Source organism: Homo sapiens, chromosome 11 (genome assembly GCF_000001405.40).
Source record: "Homo sapiens chromosome 11, GRCh38.p14 Primary Assembly".
In the NCBI taxonomy this organism is placed as follows: domain Eukaryota; kingdom Metazoa; phylum Chordata; class Mammalia; order Primates; family Hominidae; genus Homo; species Homo sapiens.
Window position 1 is genome coordinate 131226631 of NC_000011.10, and position 24899 is coordinate 131251529.

The 24899-nt window shown below is 43.6% G+C and overlaps 1 long non-coding RNA gene across 2 annotated transcripts in view, besides 2 other annotated features; it reads left to right on the forward strand.

The window, feature by feature from the left end:
- Positions 1-5614, forward strand: part of LOC107984412 (uncharacterized) — a 45435-nt gene extending 39821 nt beyond the window's left edge. Inside the window, exons 3-4 of one of the 2 annotated variants that reach the window (XR_001748463.2) lie at positions 3703-3844; positions 5428-5614. This is a non-coding gene — a long non-coding RNA (uncharacterized LOC107984412). Of the gene's footprint in view, positions 1-3702; positions 3845-5182; positions 5343-5427 lie in introns of those variants that run through there. The other variant, XR_001748464.2, reaches the window with a different exon arrangement.
- Positions 9316-9969: an enhancer, noted in NCBI's record as "H3K4me1 hESC enhancer chr11:131105841-131106494 (GRCh37/hg19 assembly coordinates)". NCBI's record gives its function as "activates a minimal SCP1, AML or CMV promoter by ChIP-STARR-seq in naive and primed H9 embryonic stem cells {active_cell/tissue: H9 hESC(naive and primed)}" and the evidence as "EXISTENCE:reporter gene assay evidence [ECO:0000049][PMID:30033119]".
- Positions 19418-20063: an enhancer, noted in NCBI's record as "NANOG-H3K4me1 hESC enhancer chr11:131115943-131116588 (GRCh37/hg19 assembly coordinates)". NCBI's record gives its function as "activates a minimal SCP1, AML or CMV promoter by ChIP-STARR-seq in naive H9 embryonic stem cells {active_cell/tissue: H9 hESC(naive)}" and the evidence as "EXISTENCE:reporter gene assay evidence [ECO:0000049][PMID:30033119]".

Sequence of the window (24899 nt, forward strand, 5' to 3'; positions counted from 1 at the left end):
TATTTCCACGGCAAGGGTTGGCAAATTTTTTTCTAAAAAACAAGCTAATAAATATTTTAGGATTCCCAGGCTAGTTTCCTCCTTTCTGGAACTCTGTCCTACAACATTCAGTTGCCACAGGTTTCTTGAACTCTGTTCTCTCTCCTTGATTCGTGAAGGCTATTACATATTGTTAGGGTTACCCTTCCTGAATGCAGTTTAGAAATTTCCTCCAGAAATGTTCTCTTCTTTCAGCAATTATTATTTCTTGTTTTTGTTGTTTAATGTCTGAAAACTGTTAATTCATACATTTTGTTTAGTTTTCTGATTGTTTATTATGGTCAGTTAAGCCCAATTTTTGTTACCCCATCATGGCAGGAAGCAGCAGCCTTCTCAGCCCTCCAAAAAGGAGCAGTCACAAGAGAATCCCTGTTGTATATTTACATGCAGCTTCTTAATATATTCTTCTATGACAAAATGGCTAATTGTTTAAGCCTCTAACTAATAGATGTATAATAAGTGAAAGAATCCTGGTAGGTTTGGTGATGTCTGACCTTTTTCATGGAATGATGCTACTCTAGGTTCAGTAGTGGTTGACATCATGAGATTATACAGAAATAGTAGTTGTAATCTGAATTTTTTAAATGGAGAATTAATGTTCACTAAAATACATTGGGAAAACATTCTGCTGAATACTGGCCAGTTATATCACATGGCAGAAATATTATTGAAAAAATAATTTTTACTAAAAACTCAAAATGACAATAGCAAGTATGAATTCAAAATTAGACTCATTTATTTCCATATTAACACTATTTTAAATACATTTATGGTATATATTTTGAATGGACTGAAACTATGAGGGACAAAGGAGGTGTGTTTCTGGGTGAGGGTTTAGTGTGCATAAGCAGGTATTCTAAATGAAGCCTAGTAATTGAAGTTTGATGCATGCTGTAGGGATTCTCCTTTGACTTAAATATTGAGCAGCCACGCAAGTTGTAGCTGAAAGAATAAATATCCGTTCAACTTTGTCTTTTAGTTCCTCCATGTTGGAAGCAGCTAGGACTGGGGACTGTCTGGACCTAGAGTTGGTGCTCATCGTCCTGATGGTGAAGGAAAGAGCAAGGCATCTGACTTATTTTGGAAGGTCTCTTTTTTGACAAACAAGATACTTTAGGGGGCTGTCTCTAAAAGGGTATATACACTGGGTACACAGTCATATTGGGGCTTCTCTGCAGAGGATATTTCAGAAGTTTTGCAGGTGGTCACTGTTTTGACAACCAAGGCATCACTGGTTTTATCAAAAGTGCAAGGCTAGAGTTGTCAAGTAGAGAAGCCAAGCATGTTGAATATTGAACCTCAATGCTGGTGTGACCTTGCATTGTGTTTTTTTTGTTTGTTTGTTTTGTTTTTTGAGACAGGGTCTTGCTCTGTCACCCAGGCTGGAATTCAGTGGTGCCATCAAGGTTCACTGCAGCCTCAACCTCCCAAGCTCGTGATCCTCCCACTTCACCCTCCCAAGTAGCTGGGACTATAGGCGCACATCATCATGCCTATATGCTAATTTTTTAATTTTTTGTAAAGATGGAGTCTCACCATGTTGCCCAGGCTGATCTTGAACTCCTGAGCTTAAGTGATCTGCCAACCTCGGCCTCCCAAAGTGCTGGAATTGCAGGCGTGAGCCACGGTGCCCGGTCAGTGTTTGTGTTTTGTTTTTGTTGTTTGTTTTAGTGATGAAGAGAAGAAAGAAAATCAGTAAGGAAAATTCCTGTATAAAGGCTGAAGTGTATTTTGTGTTTTTTCTTCCCATCATCCAGGGTTAGATAACCATAAAAGCACTCTTTTATAGCACTTAGGGTAAAAGATATTGTAAAAATATCCTCTGTGAAACACCTTAAGGTCATTCGAGACCAAAATTATTCCCACTGTACTTAAGCTTAGTTTCCATTTCTCATCTCCAGAAAAGTTGAAAGTAATACTACTTAGAAGTGGTCTGTGGACTGGGGCCAAGCCACAAAACGTGAGCTACATGTACAAACCAAAAATAAGCATTTAGAAATTTTCATAAAAATGTTTGTAACTTTATGTCTATTCCTTTTAATCTAATCATAAAGAATTTGGACTAGTACTTTACACATCTTTTAAGATTTTGTTTCATATTCCTGATAACTTATTTCTCTTTCTTTTCTTTTCCTTTCTCTTTCTTTCTTTCTTTCTTTTTCTTTCTTTCTTTTCTTCTTTCTTTCTTCCTTTCTTTTTCTCTCTCTTTCTTTTTTGATTTTACAAAAGTATTTGATCCACAATGGATTGGGGGAACAAAAAGAAAAAAACATCTTGGCCCTCCCTGTATTATTTGATTTTTTTGCAATTTCTTATGAATCTATAATTATTTCAAATAAGAAGTAAAAACAAAACCAAAATAGGACAAAAGAAAATGTAAATAAAAAGCTGGTCCTTGACCACAGATAGTTAGAGAATCAGTAGCCTTGGACCCAATCAGCTACACGTGGGAAGAGCAACTTATAAAGGAGAAAAAACATCTTAAGGTCATGGTCAGTAGTTACGGCTGGATTCATCGGGATATAATGTGGTGCTACCTTTTTTATCTGTTGTGTATTGCTACAATAATGCTGTGTAAGAAAAGCAAATAAACACACAAAGCCCTGTGGCATCAAACAATAGACATTCATTTACCTCACTGGCAACTCTTCTGGGCTGGAGTCTCATGTCTCTGCAGTCAGCTAGTGGCTCTCTGGGAGGAACTGGTCTAGGATGGCCTCTCATGAATTGTCTGGCCCCAGTCCCTGTGGTCTCCTATTCTCCAGCAGACAAGCTTGGCCTTGTTCTTATGACCGTCACAGGGTTCCAAGAGAGCACACAGAGGAATGCAAGGCCTCTCGAGGCCTGGGCTTGGAACTGGGATGCAGTCATTCTTACTGCAGGACCAGACTGGATTCTAGGAGTGGAGGAGTGGGCTCCACTTGAAAGGGCAATGGATAAAGAAAGGGAAAGGATTGGGGCCATTTTGAAACAGCTGACCAGGACCTGGCTCATTGTTTGAGCTTCCACATTCTCTGCGATATCAGGGTGATCTCAGATTCCAGATGCTAGTGCTTGTCATCCCTACCCTAAGGACTGCTGATGAAATATTGCCCCTTTCCTTCAAGTAACCAAAATAGACACAATTAATTGATTCGTGTACTCTGCTCATTAACTCGAATGTGGCTTTTAGAATCTTTCAGAATTGGATTTATGTGTTGAAATCTATCACTCAATACTACAATTATGGACACGCAGCAGGTGGCTCAGGAGTCCCACAGCCCCTTCAGAGGGTGCGGGACATGCACTGGTGGTTAGAGGTGGTGGTGACCATACCCTCTCAGATATAAATCTTGACCCTTCACAGGTTACTGTGGCCCAGTTACAAGGCCCGAGAGCATCTACTACCTATTGAAAAGCAGATTACAGCCAGACATTTGTCAAGGAAAATATGTTCTCCCACATAGGACAAGTAGCCTTAGGTTGCACTTGGGGTCTTCCAAGCTTCTCTGGGTGAAGACACAGTGTTTTTCTGTTAGTTTTGAGGTTATCAATTATAATAGATGTGGTTACAATAATAGAAGTTCTCAGGAATGGCATAAAAGGATGCTGAATGCTTTAGGTCACACACTGGGTCTGAATTCCAAGTATTCATAAAATCGTTTTGTGTATGTTCTCCCATAGTTTTGGAGAAAATAAGCAGAAGGCATGGGGACTGGAAGTTGTGAGGTACGATGAGGCTTTTGCTGATACAGGAATGATGTCCTCACCCACTGGGCCATAGGAGTGGCCTCCCAGGATCAAAGAACATGGGGAGCCAGCACTGGTGAGCCATGGAGACTGGGTGGGGGCGGGGTGGAATTCCTGACAAGGGAGAAGGTCTCCCTACCTTGGCATTCTCTGAGGTTTGCCTCTATAACAATGACAAAGCTTCCAAAGAACAATTATGGAACCCTGGGGACTTCAGAAAGGCAGAAACTGTTCATCACCTTTTCCTCCGCAGTATCTCTGTGCTAGACACTATAATAAGAACGTCACACAATCATTATGAACATTTACCCCATTCCTGTGAGACTCTAGCCACATGTTAGAGAGAGCTGAGAAAGAAGTTTTTTGCCCAAGGTTCCACAGGGGTCAGTATATAGCTCAGATATGTGACGCTGAAATTTATATCCTTAACCATTTCTAACACTCTATGGCCTTGTAAGGATTTGAGAACTGTGGAAAAGGCAGGGGTTAGTTTTGTTTGTCCCAGAGATAAACACAAACTTCCAAGGTGGATGAACTGCACAGACTTTGGATACAAGGGAAGGTTGAAGCAGCCATAGCTAAATCACAGGCACACCATGAACCTGAGCCACTTTCCTCTGTAGTCCATAGAAGGCACAACAGACCCCCTGTAGTCTTCCCAATGTGCTTTGGTCAACCAAGGAGGACTCAGCCCACTGAAATACAGGCAGACTAGGAAGGGTGTCTGTAGGGACCAGTAGAACAGGCTTCGGGGCTCAGATGCACGAAAAGCCTCTACAGAGGTGGGATTTGGAGATTGACAAGCTCCCTGGGGCTTCATAGAGGAAGAATTGCTCATTACACGAGTCCAGTGAAAGGGAGCTTGTGTGTATGAGAGCAGGCAGGGGAGGAAAAATACTATAAGGAAATGTAAACAGGTCCTAGAAGTCCATCTGGTCGATCATTCTGGGACAGCAACAGCAACCTGCCTGGTGTGAAAAGGTCCCCAACGTGGAAGCTGAGACATGGGCAGAGTTCAGATTTTAGAGAATGGTGTCCTTCAGCTCCCCAAAACCTCAGTTACCAGAACCAAGACAGACCATCAGAAGGGAAAGCCTGAGAATAAGGTCAGCTTGAGGTTGTCACGTGATGATCCCTCAGTTCCCCCAACAGAGGACTTTATTAGTTCCACTCCCCCCACACAGGCCTGAATCACTGCGGATTCATGCAGAGGGATCAAAATGTCCAGATATTGATGGCAGAAGGCTTGGGGCCAGGAGACAGAAAATCCAGATGGTTTTTATAGTTGAAAAGGGGAGAGATTTTTCTCATTCTTGGTGTATTCTCTGCCTCTATTTTGCTTTCATGCAGATCCAAGATTTCAGAAAGAGGGTCTGCCGAACTTTATTTAAATTTTTGTTCTTTTATGTTGCAGTATTTTGAATCAGTAAATTGTCACAGTTTTTTATTGGCTGGACCCAGGAAAGCATGAAACTGGCTGGAATTGCAGGAGATATTTGAGTTAGACACGTCAGAGGACTTCCTGGCCTGAAGGGCACCAGCATGAGAGAATAAAGTTATTTCTGTCGCTGTCATACTTGCTTTTTTTTCTCTGCCCTTTTCCTCTCTCTTTGGAACATTTTTTTCTCATTCCTCCTGCATTTCCCTCACTGATTTCAGCCAGGACGAAGAAAGAGCTTCATTACTATGAACTTGCTTGTGGCTGGAGGAATTGAAGTGGAGACGCTGACTCCCGTGAGCTTGGAGACTGCAGGGATGACAACCTTATGTTACATTGATGTGTTCTCATTTTTGTTGAGTATGACTATACTTCTGTACATTTTATTTCACTCTTTAAACATTTATGTTCCTGTGTTATGATTAATTAAGTGTAGTAAAATGAAGTGTTTGCAAAGTTAAAAAAAAAAAAAAAACCCTCACTCCTCTGGAGTCTTTGTACTGCACGTTCTTTTTGCTCTTGCCAGTCCTTATTTCTCTTTGCTCTTTTCTTCGATTTGTCACCTTTCTTTATTCCTTCCTTTTGTTCCTCTGGGCCGGTCCTTCAATCCCCACTCCATTAAAGGCCTTGCTGACGCAGAATACTTTCAAGGCAACAGGGCTTTATTCCAACTAGATAATCAACTCTCCTCTCTTTCCTCCTCTCCCCTCTCCTCCCTTTCCCTCCCCTCCTCTCCTCTCTTTTTCTCTTCTCTCATTTTCACTCATTTCATCTCCTTCTGTTTCTTCATGTCATCTGATACCTCCCATAATATGTTTTGGTTTTTGAGATGGAGTCTCCCTCTGTCACCCAGGCTGGAGTGCAATGGCGCGATATTGGCTCACTGCAACCTCTGCCTCCCAGGTTCAAGTGATTCTCCTGCCTCAGCCTCCCAAGTAGCTGGGACTACAGGTGCGTGCCACCACACCTGGCTAAGTTTTGTATTTTTTAAGTAGAGATGGGGTTGGCCAAGCTGGTCTCAAATTCCTGACCTCAAGTGATCCACCCGCCTCGGCCTCCCAAAGTGTTGGAATTACAGGTGTGAGCCACAGTGCCCAGCCCCATAATATGTTTTATCAAGATAATAGCAGTGACGACCACAGTCCATCTGTAATGTCACAAACCAAGGGAAACCCAGTGAGAGAGGCCAGCAGATTTCTCCTGGCCCCAGGTGCCTATTCGGTCAGCTAGGAAGATGAGTTAGGAGCTAAGAACATTCTTGGATCATCCTCTGACATGCAGGCCGACAGTCTTAATGAAGTAACTGGAAGTACGAGAAAAATTTACCCCCACACTTTATTGCTTAAACCTTCCTATACTTAATTCTGAATCAGTCAGAAGAAAGGCTTTGTAGAATGTGATTTTAGAGATGCCTCTATACATGGTTTAGTAAATTTACGAAGTGCTTCTGAAAAGGACTTAAAGCTACTACTGAACAAACACTCATTTATCTAAGTCAGTATTTCTCAAACTTCAAAGAACCTAAGGCGCACTTGGTGGGCTTAGTAGACTGAATTTTCCCAGGCCTCACCTCTAAAGAGCCTGGCTCAGGGTATCTGAGAAAGGAGCCAGGGAGCTGCATATTAAACAAGGTCCCCAGGTGATTCTGAAGCGGAAGGTTCACGGACTGCACTCTGAGAAGCCGAGTTTAAATGAATAAAAGCTGTCATTATTCTTGAGATGAAGGTGAGGAAAAAAATCGTGACTACTCCCTGATATCACACAAGTATTGAGTGCTCGCTGTATGTAAAGTTCTGTGCTAGGCACTGAGTGGGAGGCGAGGAAATAGATGCCGAGGTCCGTATCAGCAGTTCTCCATCTGTCTTTAATTGCTTCTCCAAGTTTTGAAACAGGGCTAATTTATCCATGTCACAATGTGCTTGGGTACCCACTTCTGCATTCGCTTTCCTAGGCCTCCTACATTCGGTGTTTGACTACTGTATAAACACAGAAACTAATCAGGAAAATAAGGTAATACTTATATTATTAATGGTAGTAGTAATAGTAGGAGTAGCTGAATGCAGGTCCTGGGCTATGTCCAACCGAAAGATGTCCTGTGGCCTATATGAAAATGATGCTAAACACATTTCATAGCATGGCCTTTCTTTTAAAATTCTTTGAACGTAGGAAAGATATCATGCATGCCTCCCTCTTGCCTTTGATCAGAAATGGTGTTTGCATGCCTGCCATTCTGCTTCTGACCACAGCTGGGATCTCGGAGCAGGGATCTCAGGGCTGCATCCCTGAGGTGGGCCTAAGCCCCAGTGGCTCCCACTGGGAGAGTTCCTCTGATGGCTTTAAAACTCCTCAGCAGTCACCCTGATTGCATGAGATCTGCTTCTTGCCTTCCTCTCAATGACGGTTTAGTAGTCAAAGATGAGTGGAATGTTCTTGTTGCATGTCTCAGGGCAAGATAATTTCCTTCCCTTTGTTTCACCTGCGAACTGTGCACACCCAGCCTAGAGCCAGGCTGGTCAGATGCTCTGAAACACCCGCAGGCTCCTGAGAGGCAGAGGCTGCGGGAGTGCAGCTCTTCAGTCCTCGGGAGTGTGCAGCTGCCAGGTGGGGGCATCAGGACTGGGGAATGTGTGTGTGTGTGTGTGTGTGTGTGTGTGTGTGGGCGCGCGCGCGCACGCGCACTCGTGCGTTTGTGTGTGTAGTCACAGCTGTGCCCATCCCTGCCCCAGTGAAAGCTATGGATTTAATCCCCAAGCGTACTCAATGAATCAAATGCAGGTATGGATTGTGGATCCCAGTAAGCCCGTCCATGTACTCCAGGTAAGAAATGCTGGTCAAGGTGGAGAAGAAATATCTTTGTATTTCTTGAATGTAAGTGGGGGACAAGGCCTAGAAAAGGTAGCTCTCAGAAAGGTGGGTGAGTCACAGAGGTGATTTGCACCACCTTAAACTGGAAGTTCTACGGACACTGGGAGTTCCTTTATGTGATATTTTAATCGTTTTCACTCTGGCCTGACAGGGTTCAAAGTGTGCATGAAAAAAAATCATTATTTAAAAATTAATGCATGTATAATATTTAATCACTTTTGTCCATTCAAAATATATTATACACATACATTTTTTGAGTGCCTATTAGTGTATTGCATAGGACTAGGGTGGTGGAGAAAGGAATTACTATTTATCAGTCAATTATAGGTTGAGTCTTTTAACTGATTCATTACTTTTCACAGTGATGCCGACGTGTTTATTTTTTACCCCCATCTTACAACGAGGGCGTAAAAGCTGAGAGAGTTTAGATTACTGACCCAAGATCACGCAGCTCGTGACAGTGGTACTGGTCTTGATTTCAGAAAGCCTTTTTTCTTTGCCTTCTGCCTTCTGCCCCGTGGCCTTGAACCACCCTCCTGTCAGGGGCCACGAAGGAATCACAGAACTGAGCACAAAATACAGCCCCAGGTGTGCCTCATCTGGTCCTCCCAGCAACCAGCCCAACTGGCAGCTGCAATCGGAATCACATCTCTACTGTAGAGAAGCCGAGTGAACATTTCCAGTTAGTGTCAGGGACAGTGCCAGCACCCAGGCAGCTCTATGCCTACCCCGTGTGCTTTCCACTGCCACTGTTACCTTACATTCCTACTGCGGACACCCACTACCTCCTGCAAACACATCCTGCTTCCGGCTGGTCCCTCCCACTGCCCTGCCTGCTCCGCTGGGAGGAGCACATCCCTGGTGCCTCACAGGATGGGGGCCTGCAATGCCTCCCTGACTCCAGGTGTATGTCTGAGGAGGTAACACCCTCTTCACTATTCATCACATAACAAAAAACTCTTTGGGAAAAAATAAATTAAATCCAGACCAAAAAAAAAAAAAAAAAAAACAGCAACAACAAAACGCAACCCTTTCCTCCAAGTTAATTAATTTGAGCACTATTTTCAGGAAAAGCGTTTCTTAAATCCCTATCGCTGAAGGCAATTTTCTTGCCACAATCAATCCGTGTTCCTGACAGAAAGGAGCATAATCACTCCTTGACAGAAGGTGACTGGCAGAAAGAGGGCTGAGGGGAAAGTGAGTTTCTATAGCCATGGAGGAGCTGCAAGCGCCTCAGAGGACACCCCGCCCCCAAGGAGGCTCTAGCGCCTGACCAGGGAGGTCTCTCTGCAGGGCATGTTGACTGCTGTGTGTGCGTGTGTGGGAGGCATGTGTGTGTGTGCATGTGTCTGCGTGTGCATATGCCTGTGCACATGTGTGCATGTGTGTGCATGCACGTGGGAGTGGTGTGCTGGTGGATGGAGAGAGGGGCAGGATCTTTGCCTCCACAGGGATCCTGGACACACATCGGATCCTTGACAGGGTACAGGGTTGCTGGCCTCGTGCAGGCTGGTTTGCCTGGGCCACACATGCTGGCATGTGCAGGGGTCTGCTGAACTCAAGGCTCTACCACGCATTGGAGGGCCACACGTCCTTGGTTCCCTCCATGCCTACTTTAATGCCTCAGCATCCTTCCAACTGCAAGTTGGAAGTTGCAGCTGGGCTCTCTCGGGGTTGGAATCGACTGTTATTGATGGGAGAGCTTTGATGGAGCTTTTCCCACACCTGGAAATGGGGGTAAAATGTACGATCAGCATGGGGGAGCATGCCATTTCTCCTTCTGCTTGGAGGCAGCCAGAAAACCGTCTCAGCCCCAGTGCCCTTAGCCATTAAGAGTAATAATAGGTTCCATTAATCAAGCAATCAAGCACTAGGCTAAGCATTTTATGTGTTTGCATACATTATTTCTTATAATCTTTCAACAACCCTGAGAAGTTGCTATTCTAATCACTAGTTTACAGATGAGAAAACTGAGGCTCATGGGGAACATGACTCACGCAATTCATGCAACACAGCCAGAACTTGATCCCCAGAACACATTACTGTCAAAGCCCTGCGCTTAACCAGTCCACTCTGATGCAGCCTGCTGTCCAGGTTAGGCACTCCTCGGGCCATGAGCTGATGCAAAAGGAATGGTGGTCCCTGAGGGGCCTCGACTGGGAGGACCTTTAGAATGAGGGGCTTCTTCTGTCCTCCAGAACTGAAGATTTATCTGACTTTGGATAGGGCAAGAATATTTTTCCTTCCCCAACTAACGGACAGAATTCATTCCTTCACTGGTGGGTGAAGTGATGCTAATGAGAGAGAGTCCCGTGAAGAGCAAAGCAACAACATCTGAATGTACCTGTGTGCACCGGGGCCCAGGTGAAGAACAGCAAATGGTAGGCAAAGGCCCACGGGATGCCTTTGCTCCTTGCCAGCGTGCTTACATCATCGCTGAGGCTCAAATGATTCAAGAGTAAATTAAGGATAAAATACTTGCCTCTCTGGGTTTTGTGAGCATTAAATAAAATAATATATGTAAATGGCTGAACACAGTGCCAGGCTTAAAGAAGTGCTCAGGAAAGGGTAATTAGCATTATTAATTATTTCCTTCTCCAGGTGGTAAGTAGCAGTTCCTGCTGCACTTCTGCACCTGTAAGCACCAGGGCTTGGAGCCGGGTGTGTCTAGATCCCATCTGGACCTGCCAGACTTGTGACATTGAGTACCATACTTCCCTGAGACCTGTGTTTCTCATTTGCAAAAGGGGAACTTCATGGTCTCTACCGTCTAAGGTGGTGTATAGGAAAAGGGAAAGAGGGGCTGGGCGCAGTGGCTCATGCCTGTAGTCCCAGCACTTTGGGAGGCTGAGGCAGGTGGATCACAAGGTCAGGAGATTGAGACCATCCTGGCCAACATGGTGAAACCCTGTCTCTACTAAAATACAAACAATTAGCGGGGCATGGTGGTGCGCACCTGTAGTCCCAGCTACTGGAGAGGCTGATGCAGGGGAATCGCTTGAACCCGAGAGGCGGAGGTTCCAGTGAGCCGAGATTGCACCACTGCACTCCAGCCTGGTGACAGAGTGAGATCCCGTCTCAAAAAAAAAAAAAAAAAAAAAAAAAGAAAGAAAAGAAAACAGAAAAGGTAAAGAGGAAAGAGGAGAGAACACATCTAAAGCACAGTGCGAAGTCATGGCACCGAGTAGGTGCTCAATAAACAGCAGCTATTTTTGTTATCATCATTATTATGCTTGTACTGCTTACGCATCAGAAAAATCTGTAGGTGTTGTCCAAGTTCCTGTTGAACCTAGGAGCTGCAGAGAGCATCTTCATTGCCTGGAGATGAGAATATCAGCACAATTCATAGTTCATTAGAGGAAGCGGTGTATTGCTAAATGAGTCCCCTAGGAGTTAAGGACACTTCTGAAAATTGTTTCAAGTCAGTCTATGGAGTATAAAGCAAGGACAGAAAATAGTCTTTTCCTCAGGCCTCTTTTGTGCTTATGTTTTGACTTTGGTCTGAGCACAGCTTCCATCTGAGGAGGTGCCTTTCTCCTCTCTTCTCCAAATCATATGGATTGGGGACGCATGACTCTGGGTCCTTGCACGTCACCTGAGAAGCATCTGCTAATAAGAGTGCAGAATGTGATCACCTTGCACTAGCCCCACGGCTTTATCCATATCCCTCAGCCTTGTCTCTCAGACCAAGCCAGACTGAGAGGTTTTTGTGTTTCTAGTCCTTCCTCTCCTATGTCCTAAATTTATTTATTTAAATTTTATGCCCTTCTCCATTTTGGATATATTTGTCTTCAATCCATCCATCTACACACGTTTGTCTAATTCAGTGGCTCTCAACCTAGCATATGTTTGAATCACTTGGGAGAATTTAAACATAGGAATCTGAATTGGGGGTGGGAAGGAGGGGTCTTGGGTATCGGTTTCTCTTTTACAGCTTCCCAGGTAACTATGCAACCCCATTTGAGAATTAGTAATCTAGTTCTTTCTCTGTGTTGGCAAAAATACCAGCCTTGCAAGATTGATGAGGAAATCCAAACTGAGATCATGTCTGTGGAAGCTCCTTGTCAGCTAGCTATACAGCAACATACATACATATGTCTCTTGTTGCCTTTGGCTTTTAGACAGATCTACACGTTGGCTTCCAGATGCACTGCTGCAGGTGAGCAGTGAACAGTTTTTGCTGTCAGTCCTCATCTCCCCACTTGCTGCTTTCCACAACCTCCGTTCCTCTCTGACTCTCCCTGGGCAACTTGTGTGGACCTCCATCTGCCTCAGCGTGTCTCCCCAGCCTGGCTGACTTCAGAGGTGACTTCATGCTGCAGATCCATGGAGCAGGACACAGCCCTCAAATTCATGTGGCTTGTAAACTGATATCGTTACTGAAATGAAATAGTTACTGACAGGGACAAAGGTGGCCCTCTGTGTCCTATCTTGTCCACCTAGGGCACTGCTACATGGAAGCGGGCCTTTTGGCCAGGTCTACCAGATGATTAACACTTTCATAAAAACCAGCACCTTACAGCTGTGTTCATCAAATCAGACAGTGCCTGTGTCAAATCCACTGTCTCCCAGTGTTGCCCTGTCCCTGATTTCCACACATGAAATCAATTACCACACATTAGCGGATGTTTAACACTTTAACGGAGTATTTTTCTCTACCATTGTTTGCATAGAGGGGACATGAGGAATCATTACCAAGTGACCAGCAATGGATTTTGTATTGGCAGAGAGGAGAGGCTGGAGCTTAGTGAAGTGAATTTAGAATGCCCCAGGGAACATTACAAAGTCCCTATGCCGGGGCTCCTAGTGGCTGAAGAGGTTGAGAAAGCTGCACGTGGAGTGCGGATTCACTGGAAAATTCTGAAAGTCCATGTGCAAATCTGGGGAATGCCAATCACTTCCTCTGAATCTCATAGATGTACACCTCGGCTCACACTCACATTCTCCAGCCATCCTGCCTAGTGCTGGCTTTTGCTCATGGTAGGCTTCACACAGCACGTTCCTCACCTGAGGAGGAACAGTGTCATTCTGGAAGGCATGGTGACATGGCTTGGCTGTGTCCCCACCCAAATCTCATCTTGAATTGTAGCTCCTATAATCCTCATGTGTTGTGGGAGGGACCTGGTGGGAGGTAATTGAATCACGAGGGGCAGGTTTTTCCCATGTGGTTCTTCTGATAGTGAATAAGTCTCATGGGATCTGATGGTTTAATAAAGGGCAGTTTCCCTGCACACCCTCTCTTGCCTGTAGCTGTGTAAAACATGCCTTTGTTCCTCCTTCATCTTCCGCCATGATTGTGAGGCCTCCCTACCTATGTGGAACTGTGAGTGCATTAAACTTCTTTATAAATTACCCAGTCTGGGGTATTTCTTCACAGTTGTATGAAAATGGACTAATAGAAATGGGCTTGAAATCAGACCATAATGACATGAATCCCAGCCCCAGTCACTTCATGGCTATGGGGCTTCAGACAAGTCACCCAACCTTTTTAAACTTCAATGTCTTCATCTATTAAATGGGGGTCCTACCCAATAGGACTGGCCTTGGAAGAAATAGAATTAGAAAAGCTCAAACATATAAAAGCATTTAATTCTGTGCTTGGTGCTACTTCATAAACGTCAATAAATATTTTAGAATAAAAGTTTTCTTCTCTCTCTTCCTTTAATCACAGAGCCACTTGTCCTTCGATCATACTAAGTATCTTCTCAGCAATATCATTTCTGGAGTCAGCTCTTTCTCTTCCTCCCCGTCCTCCACTGTCGTCAGCAAAGGGGCTGGCCTGGCTTCTCTCTAAAATCCTTCCCAGCTCCGGTTCTAAATGTGGCTGGTGAATTCAAATAAACACATACACATACACCCCCACCTCTCTTACATGCGCAAAGACAAAGAAAACGGATGAAGGTTAATTTTTTTGGCCCCTTCTCATAATGACTCATCCATAACGATTTCTACTGGTTGTATTTTCTTCTGTGACAGAAACAATTGACTGCATTCTTGCAGAGCCCCCATTTTCTCAGCGTGATCTAGTTGTGTGGTGGTTTGGGAAGTAATTTACTGATATTTTGCTTCAAAACAGCTTACAAAGACCAAGGGGTTTTGTTGACACCAAGGTGCATTCCTTATGGGCTAGAAAAATAGGATAAAACCATTTAAAAAGTAAAAACATGGTATTACCATCACTTTGAACTTCAGTTGTAAATCACAGACCCCTAGTTGAGACTGGCCTCTCCTCCCCTTCATTTCTGCATCTTGCTCTGTGTGCCAGCACTGGATTGTTTGTCTGCATGGGCAAATTCACATTCCATCTTGTTGGAAGCAACTTTCGTATTTGATTATATTCCTCATCCTTGGAATGCCAATGTATGACTTTCTTCCATTTCTTACCTTTCACTCTATGAAAAGCAAGCAGCCATCGCAAGGCCCGTAACTAAGCAGGGTCACAGAGCCGTCATCTCTCTGGGTTCTGTCCTTGGTCCCAGCTCCTTTTTTCCCTTGGGCATTCCTCAGCCTGGTAGTATTGATTCTACAGTAGTTCCCCCAGTCCTCTCTTCAGGCTGCAGACCAGAGAGCTGCCCGGAGGATCCTTACCAGTCCTTGGCTTTCGGCAGAAGCAGTGATGCTGTCCTCCTCATCCTCATCCTCATCCTGTCCAGGGAGGGAGCATCCTTAGCCTCTCTCCATAATCCGCTCCAGCCTGAGCTCTCCAAATTAGATAGGATTTAGGCTTCTTCTTGGTCTTAGAGTTGGCAGGCATTTGTTATTGGTTTTGCCCAAGGTTTTATACTCATTTTAAAATTAATAATGATTTTAGAATTTTATAATGGGCAAGGTTTATGATCATCAGTCTAATCTTATAAGCCTAAATCCTAAACCAACATGAATTATGCTCAGGGTGGCCTAAGCAGCTGCACAGATCTTTGATTTCCTGAGAAGTAGACATGAGTAGGGAGGAGAGAGGAGCAGCTATTGTCAGCTCCACACTGTGCCCTCCCCGACTGGGGGACTGTGGAAATTGACTTCTAAAGGAGAGGGCTCCAAGGCCCTAACATAGGTTACCTTTGTTAGTAGGTTTGCTTAAGTTGCACTTATGAAATTAGAACGTGATTTCCTCTATTTTTTCAACAACTGTTAGGTTACTATGCTGAATTTCTGGGCATTTTGTAGTCTACATTTAACCATTTGCTCATTCCCAAGCATCTGTGGAAGACCTACTACGTGTAAGATGCTGTGCTAGAAGCTTCAGAAGAGATTTTTTTCAACGGCCACTACCTTGGAGATGCTCCCAGTTTAGTGGGGGAGGGCAGTGTTCTCAGACATGTAAGTATTAAAGTTCTTTTCTTTCTATATTTGTTATCTTCTGCTCCTTTAGCTGACTAGATGGAGCTCAAGTGGTTGGGCTTCTCAAGTGTCACTGAGTTAATATGAGTAATGTTCCCATCTGCATTCATTTCTGATTCCTGACGTCTTGACTGTTTCTTTCCTCTTTCTCTTCCTGCCAACATGATATAAGAAGATAGACATTTATTTCTAAACCAAAGTACCGAGAAATGACCCATGAAACTGTCTTAGGAGAGGTCACGTTTCAAAAAAGTAGTCTAGAATCCTGCCTGTCTCATTTTTGTCTGTCCTGATTTCCTTGCAGCCTGGGCATGCGCTAATTTGTTCTGCATTATCCTGTGACAACTCGGTTGCAAGGACAGAAAGTTAATTCTCTATGAGTCAGGTCTCCAGAGCTACGTAGTCAGGTAAAAAGTCCAATGGGTCTTCAGATAGGATATTTAAGGCCCAAATTGTATCACTTGCACTCACCCACTGCCCAGACCCACAGCCAGCACCAGCTTTCTTGAGTGGCCTGGGAGGGACAGTACCAAGATGACGCTGACTGTGATCAGACAGTTTAGCACTGGACCTCTTCTGGGCTACTTGGCCAAATTAAGGCCATTATCTTCCTTGTCCTTCTTTCATGAAGGCTGCTGAGCTCAGCTAAGTGGCCCTGGGACCCTGTGGAGAAGGCTGACAGTCTTCTTGATCTGCCAGGAAGCCTGGGAGAGACACATGTCTAGTTAATAATAGAATCAGCTACTTGACAAGGCTCTTTTAGTTTATTAGAGGGATGCCTCAGAAAACAGGTGGTTGGTACTAGGGAGGAAAAAAATGGGGGAGTAGTGTTTCTATTTTGCATATGGCATTGGCTTGTGAAGCTACTTCCACCCCTAATCCCTTTGACCCTTTTGTAGCTCAGCTGACCAACAGGGGAATACTTATTTATAGTGTCCCTTCCCCTCCTCTAACTGAGATCAATGCATTTTATTTAATTGGCGTCACCCCATCATATTAGAACATTTAGAATTTGTCTTTATGGCCTTCTTTATACCCCAGGAAGGGCTCTTGAGGGCAACGCAAAAGGGCAGCTTTGGGTGTTGAACGGGGTCTCCATTAATTTGGGATGAACTGAGTGTCAGAAAATTGAGTTTCAAGGGCAGCCTAGGAAACTTGTCAATTTCAAGCTGTCTGCTGTGGAGCCAAAGCATCCTTAGTTGCTGGATTTTGGAGGCTTGTTTACGTTGGTTTATGTAATAGCTACAGTCCCCCAGGTTGATTAAGTAATTTCTTCATTTAGAACATCCTAAATTGCATGACATTTGAGAGATTTCCTTGACCTTGTCAAGGGCAGATGCTCACTTTATTGCTTTTCCTTATTCTTTGCTTAAAGAAAACAGACTGCTTTCTCCCTCACGGCAACTAGAGGTGAGTGGAAATGACCACAGATGTTTTATGATTATCAAGCCCTTGCAGTTGTACGCCCTAAACTGGCTAATAGCTTCTCTCCTGTGTATTCTTGTTCTGTCTTCTGTAATTTTTCCTCCCATTTTCTTTCCAAGTCAAAATCTTTGCCCTTTATGTGAAGCATAATAATACTTAGCATTTATGCAACACTTTGCATTTTTAGGGTCCCGAATGATCAGTAATGAGCTAATCCACACATGGTGATGGTTGTGCAGCAGGCCAGCTGTTACCCCATTGCACAGATGAGAAAACCAAGGTCCCAGTACAGCAACTCCCAATTGAAAGCCAGGCAACCCTTGCACATCTGAGTCCCTGGCTTCAAGTGAAGGCTTCCTTCGCACTTGGCTCCCAGGAGTAAAATCGAGAGAGAAAGAGAAGGATCAGAAGTTAAATTTTCCCTACGTGCTTTCTTTATTAAAATTTAACCTGTTCCCATTTTCAACTATTTCTTTAATAACCTGCCTCAGCCATAGAGAATTCCAGTCCAGTTCAACAGGAAGCTGCCTGCATGCCACTTCCAGTGCCACCCATGACTTAATAAGCCCTTCCTTGCTCCTGTCACCAACGTCATCAATGGAAGTTGTACATGCTTCAGGACTCAGGACACATTCCTCCCCAGTGCCTCTTTCTTGTCTTCTTGGGCCGACAGCTGGCTGGTTATCACAATCATCTGAGTGCACCCACCTTCTAGGGCAGTCTCCTAGGCTATATTTGGTTAGCTTATTTATGAGGATGTCACATAGGCAGAATCAACAACCTTCCTGTTCTTGAGCTCTAATATGTTTATTGTGTCATCACTTCTACAAGAATCATCTTCCTCTTTGAGACAGGAGTAACCTGGGTGGGTCAGACACAATGTGCTTCTTTCAAAGCCACACTGGTATTTCCCAGCACTCTGCGGTTTGTCTGTCTCCCAATTGATTCTCTTTTGATTTGCCCTGAGAGTCTTTCTCATAGGAAAATCAGGTTTTGTTATCAATCTCTAACTTTCCAAGTCGCCTTCCTGCCTTTTTAAAACATACATTGCATTTATTTGTTTCTTGTGTTTGGAAACCTTATCCAGTCCTTCATGAATTCTCAAAAACAGGATTTGTTGAAACTACAATTCCATCAGTCAGTTTTTAATGACATGTCCACTAAGTTATAAGACTGTGGATGGCAAGGACAATATTTTATTTGATTTTTAAAAAAATTCTCCATGGTGCTGAATACTATGCCCTGGCAGATTAACAGGTGCTTAAAACCTGTGTGAAATGCATCTGCCCAGCCCTGTAAGATTCTAGGTCCTCTGGGAAATACTACAAAATATATTATCTTGTCCAACCTTCTAGGAATTTTCAATTTAGGTGGGCAAGCGAGTCTTACATCCATGAAACTTTTAGAAAATAGTAAATGACAATATGATCAAGGGCCAGAATGGACAATAAAGACTGTGTGTATAATGCTCCAGTAAGTAAGATAATTAACAATGGGATCTTATAGGTGGCTAAACTGGCAATGTACTCCAAATGCAGCTGCAGGCATTGGAGGGTGGGCCTCGATCTGGGCTTTGGAGTCAGACAGATTTGGATTTAAATCTGAGGCTTCTGCAATCAAGTAGCTGTGTGATTCGGACAAGTTGCTTAACCCTTGTAAGCCTTGGGTTACTTATCTGTCATATAGGAATAATCCTACTTCTAATAATGCATTCCTATGAGGATGTAAACTCCAACAGGAAAGAGAGTGCTGTCTCTTTTGTTCACTGCTCTACTCCTATTGGCTAGAAGACCAATGACCATTTGTTGATGCAATCAACCTCACCAGGTTTTCATTAGTTTAGGCAATATACATAAATTAAAAGTTGAATGCAGTGCTGAGCATAATATGTGCTCAATACAATTTTAAAATCATTATTGTAGCTTCACTTGGGTTTGGCAGTACTTAACCTTCTGGCCATGTAATCCTTGAGTTCTGTTTCCTGTAGCAATGAGCCCATAGCAATGAACCTAAGTGCTGATATTCTAAAAGAATATCAGGTCTGTAGAAAGCTGTCCGTATATTCTGACCTGCTTTGTGTATTTCTTCAATTACTTCGCCTTACTATTGTATCTTCATTTGTTTGTTTAAATCTTTTGAATCTGGATTTCTTTGTTATTTTCCTCCAGATTTTGTGACTCACTTGAATCATGTCTTTTTCCATTGCCTCTCTGGCATCTTGATAGTTGTAGGTGATTTTCTTATGAAAGACCAGTGCCCACTGTGAGGCCATGGGACACAGCCCGAAGCCCTTTAGCTCCTGGATAACTAGCTAATAGTTCCCTAGAAGGAATGCCCTCAGGCTTCCTGAGGACTGGAATGACTCCTTGGCAGAGGTGAAGCATTTTTTAATCTATCTGAGTTATTTAAAGTTTAAGACAGGGATAACCTACACGAGAGACTATTTTCTTGAAGAATACAGACTTGGGGTCCAGGCTCTGCTATTTGCTAGATTTACAACTTTGGAGAAATTAACCTCTTTGGTTTTCCATTTCTTTTTCAGTTAAACTGTGGTGAAAAAATACCTATCAAATAGGGTTATGGTGAGTGTTAAGAAAACCGATGTGTGCAAAGCACATATATATTTTGTTTTTATTTTTATTTTGTCTGTTTCATGTTTTCAGAAACCATGATCAAAGCATTCATAAGTTCTCCAAAAGGGTTCCATTGGTCCTCAAAGCACTTTTCACACATAAAGAGGAGGATGCTCAAAGAACTAATTTCTTGCAACTGACCTCTAAGTGTGGCTAGTACTTTCAGGCACTGCAGGGGGCTGGCTGCTGTAAAGGATACCAAAGACTGTGGAATTCACACTCTAAGGAGCCAAGACTAACAGGAATACACGAGACTACAGTGAGCAGCACAGATAGCAGTTAATGAGAGCTCAATTAGGTGGTGCAAAAACCTAAGTGCTGAGAGGAAGGTCAATGACAGCTGGGTGCGCTAGAAAGGGTTTGACTGCAGATGCTCTGCAGGCTTCCCCAGCCCTTGAAAAAGTACACTTGAGGGAGGAGATAGGATGAGGCTTTTGTTGGCAGCGTACTGAAAAAAAAAAAAAAAAAGATTTTCTTGGAATCAGCCCCACCAGATGACTTAGGGATACTATAAAAATGAGGCCATACTCGCTACCTGGAAGTCAAGAGACCTCAGCAGCCCAGGAGAAGGCCATGGTGGGAGCACACGAAGATTAAGCTGGGACCACCTGTAGTGGCAAAAATCAATACCTAACACTCAATGCCCAGATGCAGATGGGGTTCTGGCCGTCAGGGGGCACTGTAGCAGAAGCCCTGGAGCCCCAGCTGTGCGTAGTCAGGGCCACTGCGTTTCAGGACTCCAGGGAGTGCCGTTCCCGTCGCGTACACTGGGAAGGTGCCACCTAAAGTCGGCACAAAGTGGCGGCCCCGAGTGTAGCTCATCCTGCATGATAGTGTCTTCTCCAGTCAATATAAACCCTGGGAAGATGCCACGTGTAGTGAAATATTCCTGCAAACTCTATCGACACATGTCAGTTTTCCTCGATCAGCACAAGAGGAGTGTTCAATAAAACAGCGTATAAGGTTAATTACCAGGGCATTCCACATAGTGCGATCACTTTGTTAGTATCACAACCTTTTATATGTCATGTGTGACAACACTGCAAAGTGGTTTGTACTGTTCATTAATTGTAACTTGGAACTTCCTTCATTTGAAAGTGGTCATTTATAGGCACACGTCCTCCAGATCCTGAGTAGGTGGAGATTGTTTTAAAAGGGGGATGGGGGTGACAGTTTCCCCACCTGTCTTCACTAACATGCTTGCTTTTTAATTTTTTTCTTTCTTCCTTCTCTTTTGTCTTTATCCTTCGCTTTCTTTCTCCTTTCCTTCTTCCTTCTGTTGACAAAGGTGAAATGAGTAAGATGCCTTTTAAGGAGCTCTGGGTGAGTGCACTACCTTCTACTCTAGAAAAATAGAATGAAAATGGGCTGGCTGCAGAAACCAGGAACTTGTCTGATCCCTACGTGTATTATTCCCTTTTCCTTGTTCTATGCTATTTCTCATGCTGCCTTTGTGCTTTTGATTCCTGACTTTTTTTTATGGATTTTGTATATGCTGGAATTCAGAGGCTTTCAACATTTTTTTGACTGAAGCCCTGTATGAAATAGATTTTATAGCTTCAGCTCAGAACACACACAGAACTATACACTCACATACTCACATAACAAACAAAAGAATCACTGAATAACATTTAATCTTAAGATGGAGGATGTACTCTGACATTTTATATTCTAATCTGTCTTTTCCTATTTTATTTCATCTATTCAATTTCACTTACAAAAACACTCAACCATAGCTCACTAGATTTATTTCATAGCTAATTAATGGATCATAATTGATAATTTGAAAAACTGTTTTAAATGATTATTAACTCCTGAATTACTCCTGTCTCTTAGTGGTCTTTCATTCCTACCCAATTTCAGCATATGCTTGATTGGATTATTTTCTTGAAATCCAAATGGTGACACCGATAGCATAGATTAAAGAGCAGATAAAAAAATACAAAAGAGCATGCAAACAAGTTTGAAGTACATTAAGTTGGTCTAAAAAGCTTGAAATCTCACATTTTATTCAATATTTTAAAAGGTTTTTCCTTATAGTATTGTAATCTCTACCTGTATGTGAAGAAAATCCTGACAGGCTCATGACATTTTTGCTCACTGTTAAGCAGGTATACACACTGGCCAGTCAGAATGAACACAGGCAGTAGGCAATCTCTGTGACAGTACTGTGGCTGGCTGGTTCAATACCAGATTAGTTCTTAAGCAACAGATCTTCTATTTAAGTTACAAATGCAATCTGAGTTTGGAAATTAGAATATGCAGTCTAGGATTTTCATCACCATTCTGAACTGAATTTAACATTAAATCAACCCTGCACCAGTGTGACAGTAACCTTCCTCCCAACCCCCTTGGAACTTGAAGACAGCCTCTGATGGGGCTGGGCAGAGGAACCTAGGAGGAAGGATGGTCACAGGAATAGGGGCGTCCTTCCCTTCCCCGTAGAGCAATCAGGCCCTGGCAGCTGAGGAAAGGTGCATGTTCATGGCAAAACAACAATATGAGGTCCCACGGATCCTCCTTGCCATTGTATTTCTCTCACACTCTGGCGGGAGCCTTCTTGGGCAAGACTCAAAGGAGGTCAGGCCCAGCTCTCTTGCTCTGGCATGGCCATGCCTGAGTGTAGGAAGCATTGCTCACTCAGATTAACTGGGAGTGCAGGCTAATTGGGGCCACCTTCCTATTCCACCTTTCCCTGTGAGTCAGGTTCTGGCCACTTGCCCTGACACTGACCACTAGAAACTCAGCCTTACAACCTCTCTTGGGAAAAGAAGGAAGCTCCTCCACCCACTACCCCCAGGGGCTGAGTCTGAAAGCACAGTGATAGCTATTGGTAAAGGAAAACCCATCATATCCTCCCTTGACCCTTTATGTCCTGAAAGCAGGAAAAGTGTAGCACTGTACAGAGTTTTTATTAATTTCCTTGTGTAATCTACACTGTCTGACCACTTACTTTGGAATTTTCTACCTACTGCATCTTGGCATCTCTGCTATAACTTCAATTTTTCTATCTTGTCATTCTGTGAAGAGCATTTAAAGTTACATGTGACTATGAAGAAAACATAACGGAATTTTTTGGGGCATTGTAACTCTTTGTATTATTGTAAGCCAGGTCAAATTAATTAATTTCAAATTCGTCAATTGCATTTGCATCACTTAATTATATCTTTCTTGACAATAGATCTGTTGTATTTTTTTCTTTACAAAATTCATGTAAACTTGTTTCAGAATAATCCTTTTATATTTAGGATTCACTACTAAAATAACAGCAAAATGAAATCTGCAGCTCACTCTTTTCAGTCTTCACAAATGAAATCTTAAAGTAGATATTCCAAAAAAGGAGACTGGGTAGCCTTCTGCTCAGTTACCATAATGGGACTTGGAGGGTCAGGGAAGTTCAAGATAAAAATCCCCACTCCCAAATTATTTGCCACACCCAACTTCGTCAAGCTAAGTATGAAGTAAGGGGAGGAAAAGGGAAGGCAGCTGCCAGTCATTGCAAGCTGTCATAACGAAGTACCATAAACTGGGTGGCTTATGAACAACTAACAGTTATCTCTCACACTTCTGAAGGCTGGAAGTCCAAGATCAAGGGGCCAGCAGACTCTGTTCTGATGAGGGTCCATTTCTTGCTTCTTGGTTTAGACATCCGTCTTCTCACAGCATCCTTACCTGGCAAAAGAGGATCAGAGAGCTTTCTGGGGTCTCTTTTATAAGGGGACTAATCCTATTCCTAAGTTCTCCACCCTCATGCTCTAATCACCTCCCAAAGGCCCCACCTCCATCACACTGGAGGTCATAATTCAACACATGAATTTTGAGGGAGACACAAACATTCAGTTCATAACACAGCCAAGTTAAGCCATAAAGTCAGGAAAATAAAGGACCCACCATGGTTCAGGAGATCAGGCTGGAGGTTCAGGACATCAGGCTGGAGAGAATAAGAAGACTTGGCAGAGCTGCCAAGAGGACCTGCCACTTTCTGTGTTCTTAACAATGGCAGGTACAGTCAATTTCCTAGTGCACTTGAGCCCGGCTCCAGGTGACCCTGTGTGTCCAGCCCACAGGTACCTAGTCTTCCTGCCTCCTGCTTGCTCCCACCCTCCCCAGGTCTAACAGCCAGTCATGGGAAGACAACTGTCATTCAGCTTTGATCCAGCATTCCAGGTGGCAATATTTTCCTGTTTTACTTTCTTTTGGTGGAGATTAAAATATTTTTACTATTAAGCAGCTACTACCTGAATAATAAGAATCTATTTTTGGGGTGAGGGTTATCGGGGGAGATTATATGGGAGCTCTATGTGAATTGTAGAGGAACACAGAGAATAAGTGTAAGCTGAGGGCAAAAGATTGCTATTTTAAAAAATGACTTCATCCACTTGTGCATTATAAGGGAGTAGAGGTTTTATCTCAGGGAAGATGACTCTTTTGTTTAGGAAAGGCAATTAATAGGCCTTTGGGTTAGGCTCCAAAGCCCAGTCTGCAGTGGAGGATTGAGACAAAAAGGAATTAAATCCTTCTGCATAATAAAACAAAAACCTGGACCAGAGAGCTGTGTCACATTTAAAGCAGTACAGTCCAAACTGGAATTCCAGGTCTTTGCCAGATCTTCAACAGAGCCCAAGGTGCTTGAGCACTCAGTGACCCTTGGGAGCTTCTAGATTTCCTTCCTCCAAGGTTGTTTCTTTCACACAAACCATCCCATGTCATCGTCTCCATCTTGCTTGGAAGATAAAAGTCCATATTCATCTCGCTCCCAGTTCCCGTCATCTTGCAGGACCTCCTACTAATGGGTCAAGCCCCCAGAGCAAGGGCCCTGGAGGGCATGATCCGTACTCCATGGTGACTGCAGTTCTGAGAATTCTTCCACATGGCTATTGTCTTTTCTCTTCCAGTGAGCAGAGGAAGGTGGGGAAGCTTGGTAACATGCACCTGCTGAACCCCACATGGGCATGATTGGGACAATTATATGCTTTTACATAGTAATAAGTTGCTATTGTCCTGAAAGTTATTGGAAATTGCATGGAAAGGAATGGAATTTAGGCACCCCAGGAGCCTAGGTAGTCTGACAATGATAGGTGCTCTGGGGATAGAGGACAGGACAAGACCATGCCCTGTGGCTTCAGGGCAATTCCCAAAGACAGGGGAGAGGGGAGCCCCTGTGCTCCGAGACAAATCAGTGACTATTTAGGAATAGTGGCATCTGGAATTAAATTTGATACAGTTTCTCTTAGAGCCTAACATTTCCCTCTTTTCTCCAAAACAGCCGTCCTTGAAAATGGATATTTGGGGCATGAGGAGCAGATTGAGGTGAAGAAATGCAGAGCTAGGATGGCGGAGGGAAGAAGAGGGAGACTGAGAGCCCAGGGGATTCGGAAATCCGGAGGACTGTGCTGGACTTTCTAACAGGAGAGAGCCACTCAGGAAGACTG